We start from the raw sequence: 25,137 nt of genomic DNA, 5'->3' as shown, positions 1-25,137 counted from the left end.
CATAGGATGTCATCCAAACTTGTGTCATGGTCCTGTAATGTTCCCGGGTTTGTGGAGTGAAGAAAATAACACTTGGGTATTTGGAATTTATTCTTAAGCTGTTTTTGTCAGGGATGGATGAGTTTCTCATTCTTGAGTTGAAATGAAACTTTTAAATATTCTTAATAACTGTCTTATCGCCAGACCCTCTGCATGAGACACCAAGGGTGAGTGTTTGAGAATAATATTTTTTAAATTTATTTGGGTATTTTTTTTAAAGTGGGGGAGATGAGACTAATTTATGAACAGTAATGAGCTGAAGTCAGTTGGTCACTAACAGTCCATATCAAGCCATGATCCCTGCCTGCACAAATTTGAAAAACATGTAAACAAACACAAAGTAAGTAGTAAAGAAACAGGAAAGTAGAAACTACACAAAGACCTTTACAGTCTATGCGTCTGTAAAACTAATTAAAAATCTGCCTAAGGGGTTAATGGAGTGGCTGAAACTCAATTTAATATGGGTCATGGTCTCGGGGAAGGCAGTTCAAGTACTATGTTTTAAAGACAGGTTCAGAGAGGAAAGAATATTCTATTTCAGGGACTGTCGTAAAACAATAATCCAAGATTTAGTTGGAGACTTAAAGTGAGTTCATATTATGGAAGGATTTAAATGTTGGAATAAGAATTTGAATGACTTCAGCAAGGAACAGAAAAGGAATAAAATGATTCTGCCCGTACTGATACCTTGTATTTGTAGATGTACTGTAGTTTACAGACTCCTTTTGGGAATGTTGTTTTATTTTATCTGCACTAAATCTTAATGAAAATCACAAGGCTTTTTGAAGACTGAATCTCCAGGATTGCTGATGGCAAGCTGCATCTGGATGTAGGGGATTAAGGGGAGAGAAGAGAAGGAGACAACTCACTCTGGGTTTCTGTGCACCCAACCAAAATAGGGAATGGAAAGAGGCAGTTTGGGTGAGAAAAGATGATCAAACCTAGCCAAGACTAGTGAGGAGAGCTGCTGACAGTGTTAAATGTCAGGTCCTGGGGGATGAGAACAGTGAAGTTTAGAGGTTGCTGGTGAACTTTGCAAGAACACGTTTTGCAGCTTGGTGAGCTTGAGAGCCACCAAGTCTGAATGGGGTGAAGCATAGCCGGATGGTCCAAGAGACACATAGTTAGGCAATGGAGGAAGCTGATGGACTCAAGAGGAGAAGTAACCAAAAGAGAAATGTGAGGGTCAAATGATGCTTGTAAATCAAGGAGCTGCTACGATGTTACAATTTAGAGAAGCAGCAGCATGACAGCATGAGATCATGTTCTGTGTTGTTTATTTGCAGTTTGTTGAATTTTACATCCCTCAGGAAATAGCTGTGGCTCAAAGGCAGACAGCTTTGGGTAGAAGCACATGACAGCAGCATCGGAGAAAGCTAGTCAGCAGTGGCAGCAGCAAGGCAACAGACCAGGTACTCATTACCATGGAGGGAGCTGGGCCCCTGGGATGGGCTGTGGGCGTTGAACAGCACAGTCCACCAGGCTGGCCAAGCATCTTGCAAATTAGTGGTACCAACATCAAACACGTGTGATCATTACCACTGAAAACATAACTCAGAGCTCATGCCCATAGGGTTGTCTTCATATATATGCCTTTTTTTAAAAAGAGTATTTACATTAAGTCCATAATCAGCTTGATCAGATCAAGCCAGCCACCCTCATACCTGAGGTATTTATAAATGCTTTGTGTGTTGGGTGTGTGCTGCTGCTGTGCTCAGCGCCCACCTGGATTGATATTGCACCCAGGAATTGCATGAAGGGAAGTGGTAGATGTGTATGTTTTCTCCCAGTGGTCCCTCTTCGTTTCTCTCAGCCTTTCACCTTGCCATTTCTGTGCAGGATTATTTGGGGGTAAATACTGCAAGACCAAAATATATAGCTTATTCTTAGCGTGGTGAACCCTTGCATTGGCATGGCATGAGATAACTGTCAGCAGATTTCTGGAATTCACATAAATGGCATCCAAAGGAAGAGGCTGTCAGTCATCAGGTCATCTGTGTGCTCTTTGCCATTCTCACAGTTGGCTGATTCTTCAGGGCACATGTGCATAGATGGAGCATTTGTTGGCCCTGACTCTTGCTTTCAGAGGCTGACCAGAATCACAGCCAGGCACTGTTGTAACCAGACAGTGCCCCAGTGGAGGAATCACGCTGCTCTTGTTGGAATCCAAAGAGAGACACTTTGTCATTTGTTTATTAGGGATACTTATATTTTATCCTGGATTGAAAACAATAATTACCAGAAACCATTTGTTATTGACACAAGCTGTCTACTTTTAAACTCAATCCAGCATTTAAGGAAAGCAATGTATCTTCGCCAAATAACTTGAGGTCTTTGTGTGAGGAGCCGACAGATGGAGTCCATTGATGATGAATGCACTTGGATGCACACAGAGTCCAGGAGAGCATCCTTGGGCCATGAGGGTTTGCCAGAAAGTTAACAAGGCTGGGTTCAGAAGGGCTGTGGACAGAGAAAGTCAAACCAGTGAAATAGCATGCATGGAGATTCTTTTTTCAGTGGGATAGCTACGAGGGCATTTATTGCACCTGCTTTAAAACGGATACACCATGTATTCGTTTAGTTTTGGCCATATTATAGGAGTAACTTACAGAAAAGAGGACTTTTAGTACGATAGTACTTGAGAAATCAAGGGGAAAGAAATTGTCTTAAATTTTACCCTGTGAATGTTATCTGTTACTTAATAATACTTCTATAGCTTGAGTGGTTGGGATAAAAATTTAAAGAATAGGACTTCCCTCAACCAAATAGAAAATATGTGGTTGCTATGTTTTTTTAAAAAAACAAAAATACAGAAAAATATATAGAAAAAGGTGAAAATTATCCAAATCCCACCTGTATACACAGGTAGAAATATATGATTTCATGTAATTGGGATTGTACTCTATAAGCTAATCTATAATCTATAATCTATTTTAATCACTCCTTTCTATGTTGTTGAATATAATTTTACATCAAAATTTTAATGCCTGCATAAAATTCAGTTATACATGTATATCCTGTTAATTTATTCATGGTGACATTCATTCATCAAATATTTATTTTCAGTCTTACTATGTAGCAGACACTGTGCTAAATTCTGGGGATGCAGCAGCAAACTCCTCTCTCAGTGGATATTTAGGTTATTGCTGATTTTTCTGTTAGAAGCAACACTGCATTGAACATCCAATACTGCAACATGTCTTTGAATACTTTATTTTCTCCTTAGAATAAGTTCCTAAGAGAATTGTCTGGTCAAGGAGTTGGCACATTTTGAAGTTTGATCTGTATTTATTGCCTAAACATTCTTTACTGGAAGTGTCAGATGATGCCAGTTACTCCATATTCTCATGATAATAGTTTTTATTGGTCATCATCTTTGCAAACTTGATACGTGAAAAATGATACTCTGCAATTTTAACTTATATTTCTTTGATTTTTTAGTGTGCTTGGAATGGGAGTTTTAACTACTAAGAAATTGTGACCTCCTTATGATCTATGGAGTACACTTTTCTTTGAGTCTTAATTTTATTTCTCTTAAAAAGGAAGATCTTTTTTTATTTTCTTCTTCAGGGTCAGGTTAGAATCAGTGAGAGGTTGTCTATTTCAGGGAACTGAATCCTCACTGAAAGGATATTGTATAAATATTACTACTGACTTAAATCTAGTTGGTTTTAGCATCGTGTAACTATTATCAGAGCTTTTGCTCTAGTTGTTAGTATGTCATAAGGAAGACTTATTTAATTCAAAGATATATTTAACTCAAAGATAACCCTTTGAGTTAAATATGTTTAAATTTGTATGACTTGATTAATTGCCTTTTGTTTTCAATAGATGCCATATTTTTGAAAACATGAAAGAACAAAGAGGCATTTAAGGAGTACTTAAAAAAAATCATAAAGGTAAATGCCTAAAAATATATGGTCTCCATTTAGCTTATCACCTAGCTATGTAGCATTTAAATTTTTAAAAAATACTGTTTATTTTCTGGCCACAAGTGAAATTCAGCAGTAGCTGAACAAGACAGATATGCCAGGCATGGTGGCTCACACTTGTTATCCCAGCACTTTGGGAGGCTGAGGCAGGTGGATTGCTTGAGCTTAGGAGTTCAAGACCAAGCTGGGCAGCATGGCAAAACCCCGTCTCTACAAAAACTACAAAAATTAGCACATACCTGTAGTCTCAGCTGTGAGGCTGAGGTGGGAGGATTGTTTGAAACCCAGGTTGAGGCTGCAATGAGCGATGATCACACCACTGCAGTCCAGCCTGGGCAACAGAGAGAGACTCTGTCTCAAAAAAAAGAAAAAAAAAAAAAAAGAAGTACTCAGAGAACAGGATAGAACTCCTTTACTGAAGTTCCGCTACTCAAAGATGACCAATGTCTCTGGCCTTTGGAATATTTTATTCTAGTATTTTTTTCCTCTAGTTATATATTTTACAAAAATGGAACCATACTAAGACTGTACAGCATTTTGAATCTCAGCAAATGTGTATACTTAGTTATTAACAAAGAGAGGGAGTAGTTACCTAGATTTTTTTTATGCTGGTTTAATGGGGGATTTTGTTTGTGTTGCTATTTATTTGTAATAAATTTTTATTGGAATGAAAATTAAGTATAATTGAAAGACATTTTAGACAATTAAAACTACAAACATTTCAGTTCCTCCTAATTCATTGTTCAAATCTCCTGCTTGTTATGCAATCAGAAATAATATGACCATTTTCTCTGTTATTTGGGAAGATGTTTAAACAGTTTACAGGCTGCAGGAGGCTGCAGCTGTAGCCATTTCCTGCTGCTTCTACTCCTGGAGAACATGGAGGTGTTGCTGGGCTGACCGAATATGAACTGCCTGAATAGGTGTCTGCTCTGAACCTTTCTCAGCTCTCCAGCTCTCATCCAGTGTGATTGAGCTGGATTTCATGAGCTAGTTCTGTTATTGAATACTGTCAAAATTAAATTTTCCTATATTAAATTTGTTTTGAGGGAAGCCAGCTCTTCAAAGAAGTCTATTAGGAAATCTTTTTAAAGCACACCTGTGTACATACACACATGCAGAACTGTGAATTCACCAGCTTACCTGCCTTGCCTATTTGAGATTATCCAGGAATTACATTTTACAATTTTTTTAAAAGTTGAGAACATACCTGTTCGCTGCACTCATGCATACGTGTTCAACAGTCAAATCCTTGCTTGCATTTCTGCCCCATATAGAGTAGAACTTCCATGTGAATTCATTTTAATGGAAAATTAATTATTTTTATTTTATTGCCATCTCCCACTTTTTGTTATAGAACAAGTATGGAGTTGTTTTGAAGGCTCAGACCAAATAGATATTTTTAAAATATGTATTGTGTTTGGCATTGATCCTTGAAAATATCTTTGCCACTGGGTGAAATTCATAATTTAGGTTTATATAATATTTTCTTAATTCTAACAGTATATATTATTCTATACTATGTATATAAAATTTTTTGCAGAATTTTTTTCCATTTCAGATTCTTCATTATTTCCAACTTTTCATTAGCATAGATCAAATTTTACCTGTATTTAATTTAGAACTTTAATTATTTCTTTATTCTTCTAGGAAATTCCAGAAGCTTGCAGTGAAAAAAAATCTTTTTATGTTTCAGATTTTGCTTTGTTTTGTTTTGGGTGAGAATATGGGACCTCATCAATGAAAATGGCTTTATCGTTTGGCTTTATTGTTTTCCTCCCCACTTTTGTCTTTAGAATTATAACAACTCATAAAACCAGAGCCAATTCTGAAAGTTTCCCCAAATGTTAGGTTTTGTTTTCTCCCCATCATTTTGACCTATTTCTAAAATGTTGAATAGGAATACTGTTTGAAGTCGATTGTTGGCATGGGATTTTTCCCTGTAGCTTTTCAACTCCTCCAGAGCAAATGTGCTTTCTCTTTACAGAGTGAACATAAGTCAAGACAGCAGTGAGGCACTCTGGCGCTGGGACACAGTGAGAAATTAAGATTTGCTAGTGCTGGTTCCAGGGCGGCCTGAACTCTTGTACTTCAGCTCATGTCATGCTGGGACAGATCTGAAGGAAGATCCATCTCCCTCGGGTTTCTTGATACTTCTGTGCCTTCTGTCTGGCAAGGGCGTCAGAGCCACGGGAACTTAGAGGTAGCAAGGGCTCCCCACCCGTCCTCAACCCACTTGCAAGTTTCAACTCACATCTCTTTGAGGACACTCTGGCATCCACGCACATCCTCTTACCACATAGTGAACATCTCCATTAATAGCTAACATTCCTCTAGCACTGCTAAGACCTTCAGTATTCACTGCTGCTTTTTGGAGATCCTGTGAAATAGGGGTCATTATTATCTCCATTTTGTAGATAGCAAAACTGAGGCCTAGAGAGGTAAAGTAGCTGATTTAAGTCTGCAACTTCTCATTATGGTGTGGAGTCTGTTAGAGTCCTGCATGCTAGCTCTTAACCACAGCACTCAATACCTCTTTCTTCCAAGCAAATTCCAATAAAGTGAAAGTTGAAGGCCATAAAAAGTATTTGAGAAACACTGGGATTTCATTTATTGGGATTTGACCTACATTCTTTCTGGGAATATTGTCAAGATGAGATATAGTTTGTAAATGAGGCTAGTGCAGTATGATTATTCTCTCAAGTTTGCATTTCATGAGTCATTTACTCATGCTGTGTTTTGTAGAGTCTTCCTGAAGGTGTTGGGTTCTCTGGTGGTGAGTATATCTTTCTTAAATTGCTGCTGTGGTAGGCCTTGGTAAAGTTCAACTGGGTTGGATGGGGAAGTTCTTTGAACTCTTTCAAAAATCACCAAACTACAGATAATCGCAAATCTAGCAGAGGGAAAATATCAGTTATTTAACTTTGAAAACAAATCCAACTTTGTATTTTAGAAATTACTTGCAAGACAGTAAGTCCATGATTTTACAACACAATTGCACTTGTAGGTTTAAAATTAGAAGTAAATAGCATAGTAAATGCTCATTCAATAGTTGTTTAATGAATTAAGTAATTATATTGTTTGTATAATTTTGAGGAACTAGAAAGATGAGTGAGGCGATTTCAATGTGTACATGAGGGCAACAATCGTGTATAATATCTACTTGGCACTTCACAGAGGGCATGACTCTTTCCATAAAAATATTTAGTATGTTCATGATGTCTTTTATCTAAAGAATTTCATGCTTTAGATATTAGTCAATTCTCAAAACACTACTCTGAGGAAGGTGAGTGACACACCCCTTTATAGACGAAGAATTTGCAGTTGAGGCTGGTTAAATGTGACTAACTCAAGATTAACACTGGTGGTAGGAGACTTGTCTCTGGCCTCATTCTGTGCCCATGACCTGCTCTTTGACCTTCAGGAAGCTTTATAGCCTCCTCCTGTCCAACCTCCCTCCCTTAAAAAAAAAAAAAAAAAAAAAAAAAAAGGAAAATTTCTGATTTAATTACCTCCATAAAGGAAGAGTGATAATTTAGCTGTGTAAGCATATTTGGTTTCTAAGTATACAACTAAAGTATTTCTAGCCATTTCTCCCCAAACTTTTTTTCTTCACACAGTTCCACAAAGTGCACACCAAGCAGATGGTACAGACAAGAACATGGGTTATTTACAGCCAGTAGAGTAGACGAAGGCATATGCGCTAAGCCCTCTTAAACCCACTCCCTGGGAGCCATTAACACATCCATTTAGATGAAAGAGTCCCGAGGTTTTGCCATGGGCATTTCTGCTACACTCCCCTGAAGCATCGCCATCTGCCCTGCCTCCTCCCAGAGGCCTTGTCACCCCCACTCCTGCCCAGCCACAGCCCTGTTCTTCCGAGTGCCCTCATTCACTTAGATGCAGAGCTGATAGCAGTTGCTCTCTGTTTTTCACTTAAGCCAGTTTAGCTCTATGTCTGTCTGACTTCCTTCTACCTCCAAGGATGTACAAGGCTCTTTACAAGGCTACCCTTGGGCCAAATTCAGTTCCCTACAGTTCCATGTAAGTGTTTTGAGCACTGTCTACACTTTAAACTGGGTCCTGGGGTGCAGAGGGTCCTAGGACGTGGTCCCTTGGAGCCAGTACATTTGTTTCTTCCTTTGTGCTGCAGTTTCAAGGCTATACCTGTGATGCCTGGAGAGTCCCGTTCTTCCAGATCTGTAGACCAGCTCCCTCTGCTTGTCCTTGGCCCACAATAGGCGCTGCAGTGCCCACGTCTAATCTATATAATCTGACAGTTTAGCAACCCACAGCTGACTAGCAATACCTTCTTCATTTTCGAACTCCAAATTCCTGGCAGAACGATCTAATTAGTTTAACTTATCTTTTTAAACCAGGCTACAACTTGTAGGTTCCTAGCCAGTATAGGGATGAGCCTCCCTTGCATCAGTTGTTCACCCCTGCCCCATCATATGTAAGGTCACCCCTACCCTCATCATATGTAAGGTCAAGTAAGGTTGGAACAGATTCCCAGAGAAGGGGATAAGGGTGGGGCAGTCACCCAAAAATGTGCAGATGTGCTTTGAGAGATCATGAAATATAAAACTACATTCTGCCCTTTGTCTTCAAACAAGTCTATTTGTGAAACTGGATTCAGTTAGAATAAGGAACACAGAAGCCATTTGACCCACATTGTCCAGTGTTTGCAGTACTTACATTTACAGCTCCAATCCTTATACTGTACACATACCCCAAGCCCTACAGCCTGCTACTACCCATTATGGCATCTTTAAAACGTTTCCTTTTGAAAGTTTCCTCTAAACTTGATGGCTTCTGTAAAATTAAAGTCTGTTTGTTTCCTGTAATTCTAGCAACTTAGTAAATCTAAAGAAATTCATAAATGAAATCATACAGCATTAAAAACTTTCTGTATCTTGTGTACCTAAAACTGAGCTCCTAGAGTTAACAGCTCCTGACTACTTGTATATTCAGCAAAGGCACAGGCAGAAGACAGCCATGTTTGCCACATATATCAGCTGGTGCCGGGCAAGGTTGGCTCCTGTGCCAAGCAGCTCCAATTATTCTTTAGTAAAACACACTTTTATTCATTGAGGAGCAGTTGCTTGCCAATGTATTATACAATTATATAGTGAATGGAGAACAACGGATGCATTGTAGAAATATTTTTAAAACAAGTAAACAACAGTGGATAGGAAAAGGACCCTAACTCCAAAGTGAAGACTGCTGACATATGGGATTTAGCAAAGCGCGAGTGTAAGGAAGAGTTCAGAAGGACAGAATGCTTTGTTTCAAACACCTCTTCCTGGAAGGGCCCCAGGCAGCATTCATTTCTGCTCCACCCACAGGGTGGGTTTTCGGGGAGGCACAGGGAGCAGGGGTGTGTAGGCATGTGTGGAAGTGGGTGTGAGTGCACCCAGGCACTGGGCTTCACACTCGTATTTGTAAGAAGAAAAAAGACAGCATACATTGGTTGATTTAGTGCTTCCTGAGGTCTTAACTTGAAAGGAACATGAACATAAATGTAAATTTTTCAAGGGGTTAGAGTTTGCGGGTTTGGGTGACTTGGGATGAAACAGGGCCGAACTAAAACATCTAAGAGATTTACAGTTCACACAGGAGGTAACCATTGAAAGTGTTTGCACTTTCAATACCGCAGAATATTCAGTATTTTTACCAGACCGACATCAAGTGGATTCACATCCCATGACTGATTGCACTTGTAATTTAATTCTGCCTGGATGGCCCTGGGATACTCTCAGTGAAGGCCTTCCATGAATCAGAGGTTTTTCTCTTCCCATTCCAGTGACAGCCAAAGGCCCCCTTGTTAGACCTGATGCCAACAGACAAGGAGACCACCTTTACCTTACCCTCATGATGTATATTCCCATATTTTCATCCTAATAGTGATATAAATCTTTAAACCTTAATCCTTAATCATTTATCATAGGCATCTCTGTCATATTATGAACAAGACAGGATTCAGATTACAAAGCAGTTTTACTAAATTTTTATTACCCTCTTTGAGCTACAGCCATCTGACCAGAGAGCTACTACCTTCACTGAAAGGATTGCTTTTTATAAAGTAAGGAAATCAGTCATTAATCCCTATTTGAGGGCAGTTAGAACTAAAACCTAAGTTTTTCTGATTCATGAGGTGTACTTAGTATTACATCAGTGTTTCCACACTTTAGTCATTTGTATACTACCTTAATGATTTTTGCTATATCTATGTGCCACCTTTTTAAGGGAAAATATATATTTTCCCTTGAATTTATTTTTTCTACTAAATTTTTAAAAGAAATTTATATGACCATCTCAAGTAGAAAACCGATATTCTTTGATAGAAATGATAACCATTAAAATCAATAAGTGAAAATAAGAGAGGCCCATGCCTGAAGGCTCCGAGCCTAAGGCCACACCTCCCCAGTGAAGAGGGGGATTGGCAGGTGTTGGAGGGTGTCACTGACATGGCAACATCTGGCTGAGACTTTGGTGCCTGAAAAATATTGGAAAATAAATAAGGTTCATGTTCTGTGGTTTGATGTTAGTGCCACCTAACATCTGCCATGTGTTTGTGAAATAACCTGGTGTATCCCTAGGAGCTCACATCATTCCCCATGCCACGAAGCACCATGACTAATCCAGAGGACTCAAGAGACTCGTGCTTATTCTTCACTTATGCTGATGAAAAGTGCACATGGATACAGGGAAATGTAAATGTCTCTCATTGGTTACCCACTGAAGGTAACCATAGAGTAGAGAATGGCAATCAATCGCGATGCCTCCTGAGAACTTTTTCAGGTTAGTGGAACTGACGTTAGTTGTGTGGATCTTGAAAGATGGGATAAAGCTATTCTTCAACCCATTTATTTTAGACTACCTGAAAGCACATCATATGTTTGTTTGCCAAGATGGAGGTAAAACCTAACTGGAAAATCATATATTTTATTTTTAAAAGGCCACTTTTGCTATAGGCCATGAGTATGGGCAGTTAAAGCTTAGTATCTTTCCATTTTAAAAATCTGAGATATTTTCCTTTTCTGTAGTGTATTTATTTTTGTTTCTTTTAGGAAAAAAGCAATGGGGGCTTCATAAAACCAGATAAACACTTACCGAGTTTAACATAAAACACATTGAAACCTTCACTACATGGCTAAAGTAAGATATCATTTCTTGCATGGAATAGGTGCTCCATAAATATTTGATAAGAACATTTGTGAATTTATTGTTGAACGACTTCTCTGGACGAAGTTGTGTCATTTCAAAAGTTACTGGTAGAACTCTGCAGTTACCTATAGCATCAGGTGCTTCCATGAGTGGGTGTGGCACAGCCTTTAGCTGCTGTCCTGTGTGATGATGGTGGTGAGGGTTTGACACTCCCTGGTATGCTTGCTTTTGAAGTTTTGCACCTGGCGTCTTCGTCATACTCCTCTGTATCCAAATACTCTCCACTCTGCTCTGTGCCCCAGAAAATTGACTTCTATGTACAACGTCAGTGAGTTCCTTTCCCTTTGGTTTCTAGTTGAGTTTAGCAAGAAGAATGTCCAGAGACTGGAGGGAGGGAGAAGAGGGAGGTCAGAATATCTACCCACAGTGGGGTCCCTCCTGATTCGCTACAGCCCTGAAATGGGGTCACTATCCCTGTCAGGCAGCCCTTCCGTGAGCGTTTCTGTCCAGGTTCTGGTGTCTGCTTCCTCACCTTGCCCCTTCAGCCTTTAGGTATAACAGAGCCACCCTACCTGTTTCCCCCTCAATACTAGCCCAGGGGGCTGCACTAGGCCTTGTGCCCTGCTCACTTCTTGGCAAATACCCCTTTGTGATAATTTGAGGGTGCCACCTGTCTCCTGCTGGTACCCTGATTGATAGAGAGTGTGTTTGCAGATTTGCTGCTTCAGTGCCTTTGTAACACAGCAAAGCTGAGTGGTTCCAGAGGGACTGACCTCTGATCTCAGGTTTTTTTTGTTTTTTGTTTTTTGTTTTTTTTGAGGCTGAGTGTTGCTCTATCGCCCAGGCTGGAGTACAATGGTGCAGCCTCAGCGCACTGCAACCTCCGCCTTCCAGGTTCAAGCAATTCTCCTACCTCAGCCTCTCGAGTAGCTGGGACTACAGGTGCATGCCACCACACCTGGCTAATTTTTGTATTTTTAGTAGAGATGGGGTTTCACTATGTTGACCAAGCTGGTCTTGAACTCCTGACCTTGTGATTTGCCCACCTCGGCCTCCCAAAGTGCTGGGATTACAGGCATGAGCCACCACATCCGGCCCTGACCTCACCTTTAATAGCAGGGTGTTCTATACCAGTGTGGTCCCCAAACCTGGGGGTGCTTCAGAACCCCCTGGGGAAGTTATGAAAATGCAGGTTCCAGGCCTCACCTCCCAACCTATTCATTTGGAGACACTTAGGATGCCTCTAAGGCTCTTGCAATGATTAACCTTTTGTAGTTGACTGGATGCAGAACCTGATAACATAGCACCCAAGCCTGGGCAGCCCTCTGAACAGGTGACTAGATAAAGGGCACTCGATCCCTGCTTTTTGTGCCATGTGTTAGTCTTACCTGGGGGTAAGTGAGTGAGTAATCAAGAGAAACTCCTGCTGGCTGTAAAGAAGAACTATCCTTTAAAAATACAGTATAATACAAAGTCAAGAAATCAAACTAATTTGAGAGAGAGTGGAAGAATTGCTCTTTTAACTCCTTGTTAACAACAGTGAACTGATCCATTAGCAGGAGTGACCAGACTTCCCTGGCTCACTGCACAAGATTCTGAAGAGGCCATTTTCCATTATCCAGGAGTAAAGCCCAGTGTCTATTTTGCCCTGGAGTTCCTCACCATCGTCTGCTGAGAAACAAATTCTTGTGTGCTACAAAAGTACAACTCAAGATATGAAATGTAACTAAATACAAGACACTGTTTTCCTACAAAAAATATTATAAATAAGTCCTCTGTTAAAATAAATCCCTCAGTAGATCCCTTGTTATAAGCCCATGAAATGAGTAGTCTGTCCCTGTCACACACAGCGCAGCCAGAAAAGGCATCAACATTCCATTCTTCCAAGGGAAACGTGAAATCAGAGCTCAGCACTCTGAATGAAACAAATAGCGTGTGGAGGACAATCAGCGCTGGGGTCCGGAAGACATGAATTCAAATCCTGCGTGGACCCAGGGGTCCATTTCTCCTTCCTAGGCTGTTGGGAGGATTGAATAAGAATGTGAAGCTCTTGGGGCATGTAGGATTCTCAGCCTCCCACTCCCACTCCTACCATCTAAAACATTTCCCACCCTAGTCTCGGCATAGTTAGGAAGATATGAAGATAATGGGAAGGTGCATTCCACTGAGTCAGCATGCCCAGGTGCCAGCAGCTCTCTGCAGTGGGTATTGCAAAATTATAAGACAGAATTTCTTGGTCCCCAGTTGGTAATAATTTACCTCACCTTCAATAGTGGGCCGGGACATTCAGCAGCTCCATCTCCTGCAAAGGTCCTATGAGGGTCACTCTGCTGAGGCTAATTGCCTGAGAAGGATAGTACACTATCTGTTTTGCCACATTTTGTGATTTACTTTGTTTCAAGCCTTTTCCTTTTGGTGGTTTGGTGAAATGCTGTTAGCTGATGGGTTGTGGGCATGAAGGTGAAGGGTCATCTTGGACCGAATAACCTAGGGACAGGGATCCTTCCAGGAGGGCAGAGCTGGGCCGAAGGGGTGTCCTCCTGACCCAGTCAGGGGTGCTTGAGTAATACTGATGCAAGTGTGTCCCACCCCCTCCTCCTCTGGTTAGCCTTCAGAGCCATCTAGACTGATGTGCTCTGGAAAGAGAGAGATGGTTCTTTATGGCCCCTGGGGTTATATTTGACCAACGTCCAGGTTCCAGGAGTTACAAGCTCGTGCAATTGTATTTCATCTCCGAACACAAGCTGGTTAAAAAGGAGAAAGTTCAGTCAGGCTTTGTGTTTTCTACAATCTAAATTAGATGCTAGTGCTGGGGCACCCTAGGAACTGCGTGGGAAGAATGTGGTGACCAGTCTACACGTAAACCCCAGCTTCCTACTGCACCCATCCCACTTCCCCGTTCCTTTTTTCCCTTATCTACAGGGTCTTCAACTGCCTCAAGAGCTGTTGTGGGCTCAGAAGAAAAGGAAAAGACTAGGAAAAGCAGAAACACGCTGGAGGAACTACTGTGAGAGCCAGCTCCTAAGTGGTCCCAGCTTCCCCCACCCCTCTGCCTACTTTTTTTTCCACTTCAACTTTTACACGGCCTGTAATTCAGTCATTTTAATTTGAGGTTGTAAATGACCTTTAAAGAAAAAGCAGTGGTTTCAGAGGGGGCTGATGACTCATTAAATGATCAGTGATGCATGTGTATGAGTTAATTCAGCCAGCTTGTTCAACCAAGGGAAGGGGGAGGGGGCTGTGCTTGGAAGGGTGGTCAGTAGACAATTCAGGTGCCTCAGGAAGAAGGGAGCCAGGTGGGATGTGTAATGCTGTGAAGCCGATAGGAGGAGCAGAAAGGGGGCCAGTGTAGGAGGGCAGAAGGAACCTGAACCACATGGACCCTTGTTTTATTCTGCGTAAAGACTGGTTTGGTGAGGCAGCCTGGTACCTAAGACCAACAACAGCAGCGTCTCACATGTGTAGAGTTGCCAGATTTGGCAAACAGCAAAATATAGGACACCCAGTTAAATTTGTATCTCAGATAAACGATGTATAATTTTTAATGTAAGTATGTCCCAAATTGTGTATCTGAAATTCACGCTTATCCAGACATCATGAATTGTATCTGGCAGTGTTCACAATGGCTTAGAACCTGATATTTGACAGCTCCGTGAGAAAGATGTCTGTCCCACTTTAGTGATGGGAATGCCAAGGCTAAGAGGGGTTGTGGTTGCCAGCCTCTTCGCTGGTAGAAAAGAAGCCTTCAAAGATAGTGTTCCTGCTCCTTGGCCATACATGTAAAACGCCTTGTAGGACTAAACAGTTGTCTGGCAAACACACTTCGAGTCATGTGGTGTTTATCTCGGGGTAGCAGAAAGGGCACTAGATTAAGGGGAGGCCTGTTAGAAAGGCTGAAGCAGGCTGAAAAGGACTCCTGGAGGTTAACCCCTGGGTTAGGTTTAAGGCAGAGAGGCCTGGAAGAAACATAAGAATCACCTGGTGTACTTTGATAAAGAAGCTGAGGACTAAGGAAGTGATGTGGTGACTCAAATCACAGGAGAAATGACCAGCGAAGCCTAGAGCAGCATCAGGGTTTCTGAAGTCCTCACTGAGTTCTTTCTATTATATTACATGGTGCTGACGTAGCAGATTCTTATTAAAGCCTCCAAGTTTCCACACAACGCCACAGTACCCACTGGTGGGAAGGACCACATACTGCTTATGAGTCACAGCCCTCGTTTTCTTTTCTGTTGGTGTAAGTACTGCCTAAGTATCCCCTTGTTACCAAGAGGCTGATTATGTGTTATACCCCAGTGAACAAAGACTAGGGACCAAAAATTCAGGTTGTGCCATTTATTGCATTGGACGTAATTTAGGGCATGGTGTGTTTGTTTCCAAAATCCAGCTACTCAATAGAATGAAAGAGAAACTTAAAGTTTTACCTCCTTCTGGATTTTTTAAAAAATTCATTGGTTTTGCGATGTAGCATCCTATTCCTGTGTGGAACAGGGATGCTGGAAAGCCGCAGTCCCAGTAGTCTGCTTATGAGCTACTGGGGACCTCTACAGCATCCACCTGGGAAGAAAGGAATGCCCAGAACAGAGGGTGCCGCTTCTAAAGCTGAGGTCTCTGTTCCCCAGTTCCCCCCAGTTCCCCCATAAAATCTGAGGGTTTTATGATCACAGGGGATGTGGGTGTTCTTCAAGCCTGACTTTGGCCTGTTTTTCTGAATCCTTAAGCATGGCCCTCGTATATTTTCAGAACGATGATGTCTCTTCCTGCCTTTAAATACACAGGAATGAAATGTTCCATTTTGGTTTATTTGGTTTACTTTAGCAGCTTTTGATGTAAACTGTGGGTTTCAGCATAAGAAGACTTAAGTGAAACTAGTAGCTGTATCCACACTGTCTCATCCCCGCAGTCAATTAGCACGTGGGAAACCATTTTGAGGGGAGGAGGTCATTTCTGGGAGAGAAGAAGCTTTTCCTGTTCTCTTCTCATGTGGTTTGCTCCATTCCTAACACTATGGATATTTTTTTGGTGTTTCCTTGGAAAGCAAAATATCCCATATTAACATACCATGGCTGCTTTGGGAAGCTGTGCATTTCCGCAGATTATTCCTTCAGGAAACTCTACATTTGCGCTGTTGGCTGCAAGAATGAAATTATCCTTGGCAAGTTGTTTCATTTTAATCTCAGGAGCAATGGTGTTAAATGTTAGCCAGTCAAAGCCATAAGCAAAGACTGTTATTCAAGTTTCTGTGTTAACCCTTTATCTCTGTGGTCTTTCCCCACCTACCCCACACCCCCATGCCCCAGGAGTCACTGGTTCAAAACACTATGAAGTGGATTACTTCCTTCCATGATACTAACAGTATTTATACTTGACTCTTCACAGATTGGAGAATATGAAACAGAATGTGAAACTAAACAGCTGAGGATATATGATGAATGAAACTGGCTGGGATCTGATCAGTTTTATAATTTGCAGTCCTCAATTCAGAGTAGTTTAGGAATAAGAAAACCTCTTGGACATTTATTAATGTTACCGGTTGACTTAAAAAAAAAAGATTGTGGGGTAAAACCTTACTTCCACAGTCAAGCCATAAAAGTGGCATGATTTGGGAGAGAAAAAAAGGTTATAATGAAGCCCAAATATTTGAAGTGATTGAATTAATACTTTCAGAGGAGTGCCCCTGAAGGGCAGAGTGATTTGGAATATCCAGAATATTAATACTACCAGTTAGCCAAAAGCAGTGCTCAAGGGATGAAGCAGGAGCTTGGCCTTGGAACTCCAAATGGCCTTTGAGGGTTAGTGGGAAGCAGATGTTTTGAGGCAGTTGGAGGATCTTGTGAACAGTCTTCAAAGCAGGTGGAGGCTTTTTAATAAAGAAAAGTGGGTAAACAGCTAGGCTGCTGGATTTCCATTTTTCTCCCTTAGAAGAACTAGATTCTGGTCATCTTCTGGTCCCAGATTATACGATTTCCTAGCCAAGAAAATCATGTATGATTGAGAAATCTAGGACTTTTTCCCAGTTTATTTAAGAAACCCACTCTACATCTATGTTGGTAAATAGTGGTTAAGTGGACTGTGGCTCTACTACGTTCCTGTCCCACAAAGGAATAAGATGCTGCATTGTAAATCCAATGAATTTTTTTTTTTTTTTCAGCCAGAAAGAGTGTTCTCACACTGCTATGAAAAATTACCTGATTGGGACCAGGCACGGTGGCTCATGCCTGTAATCCCAGCACTTTGGGAGGCTGAGGCAGGCGGATCACTTGAGGTCAGGAGTTCGAGACCAGCCTGGCCAACATGGTGAAACCTGTCTCTACCAAAAATACAAATTAGCTGGGTGTGATAGCAGGCACCTGTAGTCCCAGCTATCGGGAGGCTGAAGCAGGAGAATCACTTGAACCCAGGAGGTGGAGGTTGCAGTGAGCCAAGGTCACACCACTGCTCTCCAGCCTGGGCAATAGAGCGAGACTCTGTCTCAAAGAAAAAAAAAAGGGATTACCTGATTGGGTTATTTATAAAGAAAAGAGGTTTAATTGGCTCAGAGTTCCACAGGCTGTACAAGAACCATGATGTTGGCATCTGCTCAGCTTCTGTGGAGGCCTCAGGACATTTACAATCATGGCAGAAGGCATGGGGGAACCAGGACTTCACATGGCCAGAGCAAGAGGAAGAGGAGAGGGGGAAGTGGGAGAGGAGAGGGGGAGGTGCCACATGCTTTGAAATGACCAGATCTCATGAGAACTCACTATCATGAGGGCAGCACCAAGTGGGACATCTGCCCCCATGATCCAGTCACCTCCCACCAGGCCCCACCTCCAACATCTGGGATTATAATTCAACATGAGATTTGGGCTGGGACACAGATCCAAACCATATCAGTATTGCATTGTTAGTTAATGTGGGATATGTATATTGCTTATCTGCCAAGTAGGCTACAAACATTTTGAATGCTGAGATGGTGTCTGGTGCTTCTCTATTCCCTTCATTGTCATCTATCCAGTGTCTTGCACCTTGTTTAGTCATTCATTACACAGAGATCTTCCCCTGGTGCCTAACAGATTTAAGCCAGGAGTTGTGGGGAGCTGAGATGGAGGCAAAGCCATTTTCTCAAAGAATGCTCACATATGGTTTGTCCACAGAACACCCATATATATGTATGTCTAATACCAATGGAAGTGAGAGGAAGGAGTAAGACAAAAACAGTGCACAACCCAGGCACTGTTTTCATTTGTCACAGTCTCAGATACACTTGCTACTTTTATAAGTGGCTTATGTTTTTCTAGTAGGATCTGGACTACTGGAGAGACTCCCCAGTTTACTGAGAATTGAGAGTGAACGACGTATTCACTGATGTGTCTAAGTGGCTGGTACGGAAGTTCTGTTGAATTTTGGTATTCCAGCATTATCCAACCAATCATTTCCCTAGCCAACAAATGTCTATATATATTTGTTCAATTAAACTACATGTCGTAAGAATTGGCATTTATTCTGCTTCCTGGCAACTAGGCAGGTGATAAAAGAAAAATGGGGAGCTCCTTTGAAAAGCCACCTAATTCTAAATAAAATGTACACGGTGTATGGAGCTCTGCCTTGATGATGATGGCCATGGTTTACCTTGGAATATGTAAATTCAGTACCCCCTTAAACCTGAAGTGCTCTAAAATCTGCTGTGTGGGAAGTGACCACTGAGCCAGAAGATCAAGATACTACCCTGTTGTTGCCAGTGGTTTGAGCGTTGCTTGGCCACCTGCAGCATCGCCAGCGGTGCACACAGTGTTTCCAGATCTCTCAGGTATGAAACTAGACTCTCAGTGGCTAAATGTACACATCCCCATTCTTCTCCCACTGTGCATCTAATCCTTAATGTTGTGGACTTGTAATTTGTTGGCAGAGGTCCTTCTACTGTCTGTGAAGCATCAGGATGAAATGTAAGGAAGTGTAAGGTGACTAAGTATGAACGAGCAAATAGTGATTAGACTTTTAGATTCAAATTTTGCTCTATTCTTTTCTTAAATCATGGAAGTTAGTCATTTGCCATTTATACTTGTCTGTCTGCTGCAGCCCCCATGGGTTGCTATCCTCTGGGGATATCAGTAATCTGGCATTTGATTTCCCATGAGAAGAGTTGAGGAGAGAACTGGAGATGTGGGCAGGAGAGGGTTAAATCTAAAGCTGGGCTTCCAGACATTTGAGGCAGAGCTCTGTGTCACTGCAAAATAACCTGTTCATTAGGAATTCTGTGGCATCATCCTTGGAACTTAAATTCCCATTTTCATCTTAGTGGGTATTTTTGTAAGCCAGTGAATAGTATTAACTTAAGCTCAGAAAAAAATGGGATGAGCCTGTGACAGATTTAGGAAGCGCGGTTGCAGTCGTTCCCGTTTTAGATCATAGTAAATTCCTTCTGCATCAAGCTCACTTTTTGTACGTTTTCTTTTCCTCCCTTCCTCATATTCAATATCCCTTCGGCAAGTTGTGTCCATCCCTCCTGCTCCACTCCCGTGAGTGGCTGTGAGGACTCGTCCCACAGAGCCTCCCACAAGCTGTAGAGCCTTGTTTCTCCCATCCCCCGGATCCTTCCTACCCTGTGCTGAGACCTGTGCCTCATTTTCAGCTCTTCTGGGGTACCGTGTTATTACTTGAAAGAAAATTTGAAAGCATTTTACGTTGCTTATTACAGATCATTAATGGAAGCTCCACTAAACCCTGGGAATTTATTCTCTCATTGATGTGTATATAACTCCTATTAACATTAATAAAGTTGTTTAGAATCAAAGAGCCAGCAGAAACCCGTAATAGAGAATCCATTTTGATCCTGCTTCACAAAGTGACTCATACCCACAGGGCATCAACAAGCATTTTAAAGATAATTTTTACAACTCCCTTTTTAAAAGTACAGCAACTACTGAATATATCATGGCACACTCGTGTCCTTCGGAATAAACCCTGCCGGTTACCATTTGTACAGGACTGCCCTACCTGGGTGGGAAGCTGCGAGGTTTGTCCATATTTAACCAGTGCTGGAAATGTCACCCGTGGCTGCCTTCCCTGCACGTTTCCACAGGGGAGCTGGCGTGTGCGGGACTCCCACATAACAAGGGTGGACAAGGCATGGGTGCAGTAAGAAGGGAATTGCACAAGTGACAGCCTCACAGACAGGGGGCAGTGGAGATGTCCATTCACCTGAACCACTTGTGCCCTGCCCTGCCTCAGTGGCTCTGGACAGGCAGCATCATGAAACGGAGAACTGAGGGGTAGGGGGATTTTAGTCCAGATATTGTGAAGCTGTCTGAACCTATTAATACCATTTACCAATCCTTACTTGATGAAAGGACCACAAGGAGACGGAAGATGTCAGAAATTAGTAGTATGTATCTGGGAAAATATCCTTAATCTTTCACATAAAATGCGAACACCAGGGGGTTAGAGTTGCACTTTCTCTGTCAGTGTATTGGTACACTTGTTATTAAGTCATGTCAATAGCCAGTAAAGGGAAACATCTCAACTAGGCACATCCCATTTTAATGTCTCTGTATTTTTCCCTCTCCCCACCTCTATTTCCACCTCATCTTCTAATTTTTACAAATGTTCCCAATGTTTGGGAAGTGAGTTCAGTTTGGGAGAGAGACAGGATATATCTGCACATTTACTTCTGATTTGGACATATGGTTGGCATCCTTCCTGTGCCCTTGAGTCTTTTCTTAGAAATGTTAAATTTTTAAAAACTTGTTTATTTTTGAACGTTGCTTTTTTAGAATCACCCTTCCTAAAAGGGAGAGAGGAAAAACTGTAAGTGAATCTTATTAGATTTTTGAAGTGCTCATCATAATTGAACTATTTCCCTAATGACTGGTAGCATCTCACCTAGATTTGTCCTTGGAATGGTTCCTGAACGTTTCAAGATCTTCCAGTTCCACTTTACTTTTGGCTGTGGTTGGAAACATGGGTGTTCATTTCTGTAATTGTTAATCTGGATATTCTGAGGAAGAAAAATATGGAATATCCCTTTAATCACTGAACTTTATTTCTGACCCTTTATGTTTCCTAAAGAGTAAATATACAATTTTCAAAGGAAGGAAACAACAGTAGCTATTAACATGTAGAATCCATCTGGCACTGTATAGATAAAAACAAGCCCAGAACGCTTTTTGTTTATTCTTCACCACAGTGCCACGAACTGGGTCAGGATTATCCTTGTTTTACAAATGAGGCAGCCAGAGCCAGAGAGGTGAAGCCAGCCTTTCTCAGAGCCACACATCCAGGAAGGGTCAGAGCCCAGATGAGGTGGGAGAATTGAGAACAGGTCTGCCCAGTTACTACCCAGCCCAGACTTCCACCGCATCTTGCAAGGATCAGGGTATGTAGGACAAATGTCAGCCCAATGGGTCATTTGTTCCCGGGGACCCAGTTTGACCCCCTGGTACCTAACGGAGTGCCAGGAGCATGACAGGCACTCAGTAAATATTTGTTAAATGAATGTATTGTCAAAGTCAAAGAATTCACTAAAATGTGTCATCTCATCCTGGGGACTGCCCTTGGCCACTGCTGAATCTGTTTTGAAACCTCTTTGCAGGCGAGTTTAGGAATATATGAATATATTTATTTAAAATAACATTACCAGAATTTGCGACATGTGCCAGTGTGGTTGAGGCCTCTGGTGGCTAAGGTCTTCAGCAAATTAGAGATGCACAGTAGAGGTGCTATGTGTATACTTTCTCTTTGATTTAAACTTATTTAAATAACTTTTTTTTCCTGACTTTAAAATTTTACTTGTAGAAAATTTGGTAAGCTATAAAGAAGAAAATGAAAATATCTCTTAATCACACCATATTGAGATAGCAATGTTAAGATGTATTTAAACTAGGGTCGGGCACGGTGACTCAACACCTGTAATCCCAGCACTTTGGGAGGCCGAGGCGGGCGGATCACCTGAGGTCAGGAGTTTGAGACCAGCCTGGCCAACATGATGAAACGCCGTCTCTACTAAAAATACAAAAATTAGCTGGACATGGTGGCACATGCCTGTAGTCCCAGCTACTCAGGAGACTGAGGCAGGAGAATCACTTGCACCTGGGAGGCGGAGGTTGCAGTGAGCCAAGATCGTGCCACTGCACTCCAGCCTCGCCAACAGAGTGAGACTCCATCTCAAAAAAAGAAAAAAGATGTATTTATTTTGTCGTTTTTGGGAGGGGTGTGTCATGTGTGTGTGTGTGTGTATATATATATATATATATATATATATATATATATATATATATATATGAAACTTTGATTTTGAGCTTGTTGCTTCTTTCATTTAATATTAAGTTGTGATTGTTTTCTAATGTAATTGAATAATAACTGAAGTTTTCCATTGTGTGAGCAGACTAATTTATTTAACCATTCACTATCCTATTACTATGCAGTTAAATATTCTCATATTTGAGATTATAAATAATGCTGTACTAAACATTCTGGAGTGAAAATATTTGCTCACTTCTCTGGTTATTTCTTCATGAAAGGATTACTAGGTTTGGTGAAAATATAAAAATTCTATACATAAAAATTCTAAATTAAAAGCAAAAAAACCTTAGGAAAAATTTATTTGCCACAAATACATTAAAAATCTTAATATTCCGTATCCTGTTTTCCTTTCACTCAGCCTAATTTTTTGTCCTCACATTTTTGTTACCAGGCACTCATTCTGATTGCTTAGCCATCGTACTAGTTTCCCATTTGATTTAACTAAAACTGTTTCAGTTAAACATTTATTTCTTTGCTCATGACCCTGATAACATGCAGCATGATCTATCCTCCACTACTGAGACTTTCCAAGGATTGTCTGACTCTTGTCATTACATCTGAAAATCCCTGAGTAACTTCTGTACATCTTTCTTGGAAACAACATTATTAAAAAAATAGTAAATTCAAACTACTATGCACTATGCCAAGCACTGAGGTGGGTGTTTTAAAGTATGATATAGCCCCTGCCATTGAAAAACCTCCAGATAAGACATGACCACATGACAGGTGAACCTGGATACAATAAATATTAAATAAAATTACTAAAAATTTCTGTTTAGTAATCCTGACTCATCATCTCATTTTCTACAATTTCTGCAATTTCATTGGCCTGTGCCTTCAACCCACCTGAATCTTACCTGCCACTCCCCTTACCCACGAGGGGATTTCAATCAGCATGGTGTGGTTACATCATTAAGGTTTCTTACCCATAGCATCACCATGATGGCAGGATCCCCAGCTCTCAGAACAGGGCCTGGCACATAATATGTGCTCAGTTAGTGTTTATTGGATGTATGATAAAAAGTATGCATTTTTTTTCTTCAATTGGAGACCACCAGCAGATAGTTATGTACAGTCACGCGTTGCTTCAGGACAGGGATACATTCTGAGAAAAGCATCATTAGGTGATTTTGTCATTGTGTAAACATCATAGAGTACACTTACACAAACCTAGATGGTATAACCTACTACACACCTAGTCTCTATGGTATAGCCCACTGCTTCTGGTTACAAACCTGAACAGCATGTTATTGTACTAAATACTGTAGGTAATTATAACACAATGGTAAATATTTGTGTATCTAAACATAGAAAAAGCACAGTAAAAAATATCAGCATTGTAATCTTAGGGGACCATTGTCATATATGTGGTCTGTCACTGACTGAAATTTCATTATGTGGCACATGGCTGTACTTAGATTGGCAATAAATACAATTAAAAGAGAACATTTGTGGTGGGCAAGAGCTCTAGCTCAAACGTCAGACTAATGAAGGTTCAAATCCTGGGTCTTCAACTTACCAGCTTTGTCATCTTGGCCAAGTTAAATGATTTCTTCTACATTCAGATTCTTCAACTGAAAAAAATAGTGATAGAGTCTAAGCCATTGGGTTATTAATAAGGATAAAGTGAGGTTTATGTTAAGCCTAGCCCAGAACCTGGCACACAGTAAGTATTTAGTAAATGTTAGCTATTATTATTTATAAATCGTTTCCCTTATTTATTGCCTAACTACAATCTCAACCTACTCTCAGGAATATAGAAATAGAAATTGATTCATCATGAGAAATAATACATAAGCTTTGGAGTCAGATCTGGCTCTGCCACCTCAGTAGGTTACTTCTCAATGCTTTAGTTTCTTTATCAGGTGAAGACCTATTGCGTAGGGTTACTGTGAGGACTAAAATGAGATAATATATGCAAAGTGCCTAATATGTTCAGTACTCTTTTCTCTTTCTGTGTCTTGGTTCAATTAGAACACCCTTCTGTTTCTGATTTTGCTACCAAACATGTATTTTTCTCCCTCTGGTAGAGTGTTCTTCCATTTATTTTGGTGTGACACAAATAATTTAATACATGTTTATATCACAAGTCCACATGTGTGAGTGAAACAAAAACTCCACAAAATAATGCTCTGTGTGATTCCTGTACTAATTTGCTATGGCTGCCATAACAAAGTATCATAGACTGGATGGCTCAAACAACAGAAATTCATTCCCTCACAGCTCTGGAAGTTAAAAGTCCGAGATCAAAGTGTCAGCAGGTTTGGTTTCTCCTGAGGCCTCTCTCTTTGGCTTGTAGATGGCTGTCTTTTCTCTTTGTCCTTACATGGCCTTTCCTTTGTGTGTATCTGTGTCCTAATCTCCTCCTCTTATAGGGATACTAGTCATATTGAGTTGTGGTCTGCCCATATGACCTCATTTTAACTCTGTTACCTCTTTAAAGGCCTGTCTGCAAATATAGTCACATTCTGATGTGTGCTAGGGTTTAGGGTTTCAATCATGAATTTTGGAGGGATACAATTCAGTCAATAACAGTTCCCTTGATATTTTTATCTGTATTTCATTAAAGAAAATGCTGGGCAGAATCAACCAAGTTAAATTTTGTGACCCATTGAATTGACTCGGGACCACAGGTTAAAAGAGTGTGCTTTAGCGGGTTGTGTTGGCTTACCCGGTTAGTGTGAAATTGAAACCAGCATTAGGACTTGCCTGTGAC

The 25,137-nt window shown here is 40.9% G+C and overlaps 1 protein-coding gene across 9 annotated transcripts in view, besides 2 other annotated features; it reads left to right on the top strand.

Annotated features, from left to right (window-relative positions):
* FYN (FYN proto-oncogene, Src family tyrosine kinase) overlaps positions 1-25,137 on the top strand; it is a 213,121-nt gene that overhangs the window by 53,387 nt on the left and 134,597 nt on the right. The window contains exon 1 of one of the 9 annotated variants that reach the window (XM_047418562.1): positions 722-1,451. The exons of 7 other annotated variants lie outside the window; for them this stretch is intronic. The gene's annotated coding sequence lies outside the window, so the exon portion shown is untranslated. Of the gene's footprint in view, positions 1-721; positions 6,175-25,137 lie in introns of those variants that run through there. One more of the 9 variants, XM_047418566.1, reaches the window with a different exon arrangement.
* Positions 7,606-7,900: a silencer, noted in NCBI's record as "tiled region #9187; HepG2 Repressive non-DNase unmatched - State 23:Low, and K562 Repressive non-DNase unmatched - State 24:Quies". NCBI's record gives its function as "represses a minimal TATA promoter and a strong SV40 promoter by Sharpr-MPRA in HepG2 and K562 cells {active_cell/tissue: HepG2 | K562}" and the evidence as "EXISTENCE:reporter gene assay evidence [ECO:0000049][PMID:27701403]".
* Positions 15,028-15,117: an enhancer, noted in NCBI's record as "active region_24953". NCBI's record gives its function as "activates an Ori minimal core promoter by ATAC-STARR-seq in GM12878 lymphoblastoid cells {active_cell/tissue: GM12878}" and the evidence as "EXISTENCE:reporter gene assay evidence [ECO:0000049][PMID:35858748]".

This window comes from Homo sapiens, chromosome 6 (genome assembly GCF_000001405.40).
Source record: "Homo sapiens chromosome 6, GRCh38.p14 Primary Assembly".
Lineage (NCBI taxonomy): Eukaryota > Metazoa > Chordata > Mammalia > Primates > Hominidae > Homo > Homo sapiens.
The sequence above is the reverse complement of the archived record's forward strand: the minus strand, read 5'-3'. Positions and strand labels throughout refer to the sequence as shown.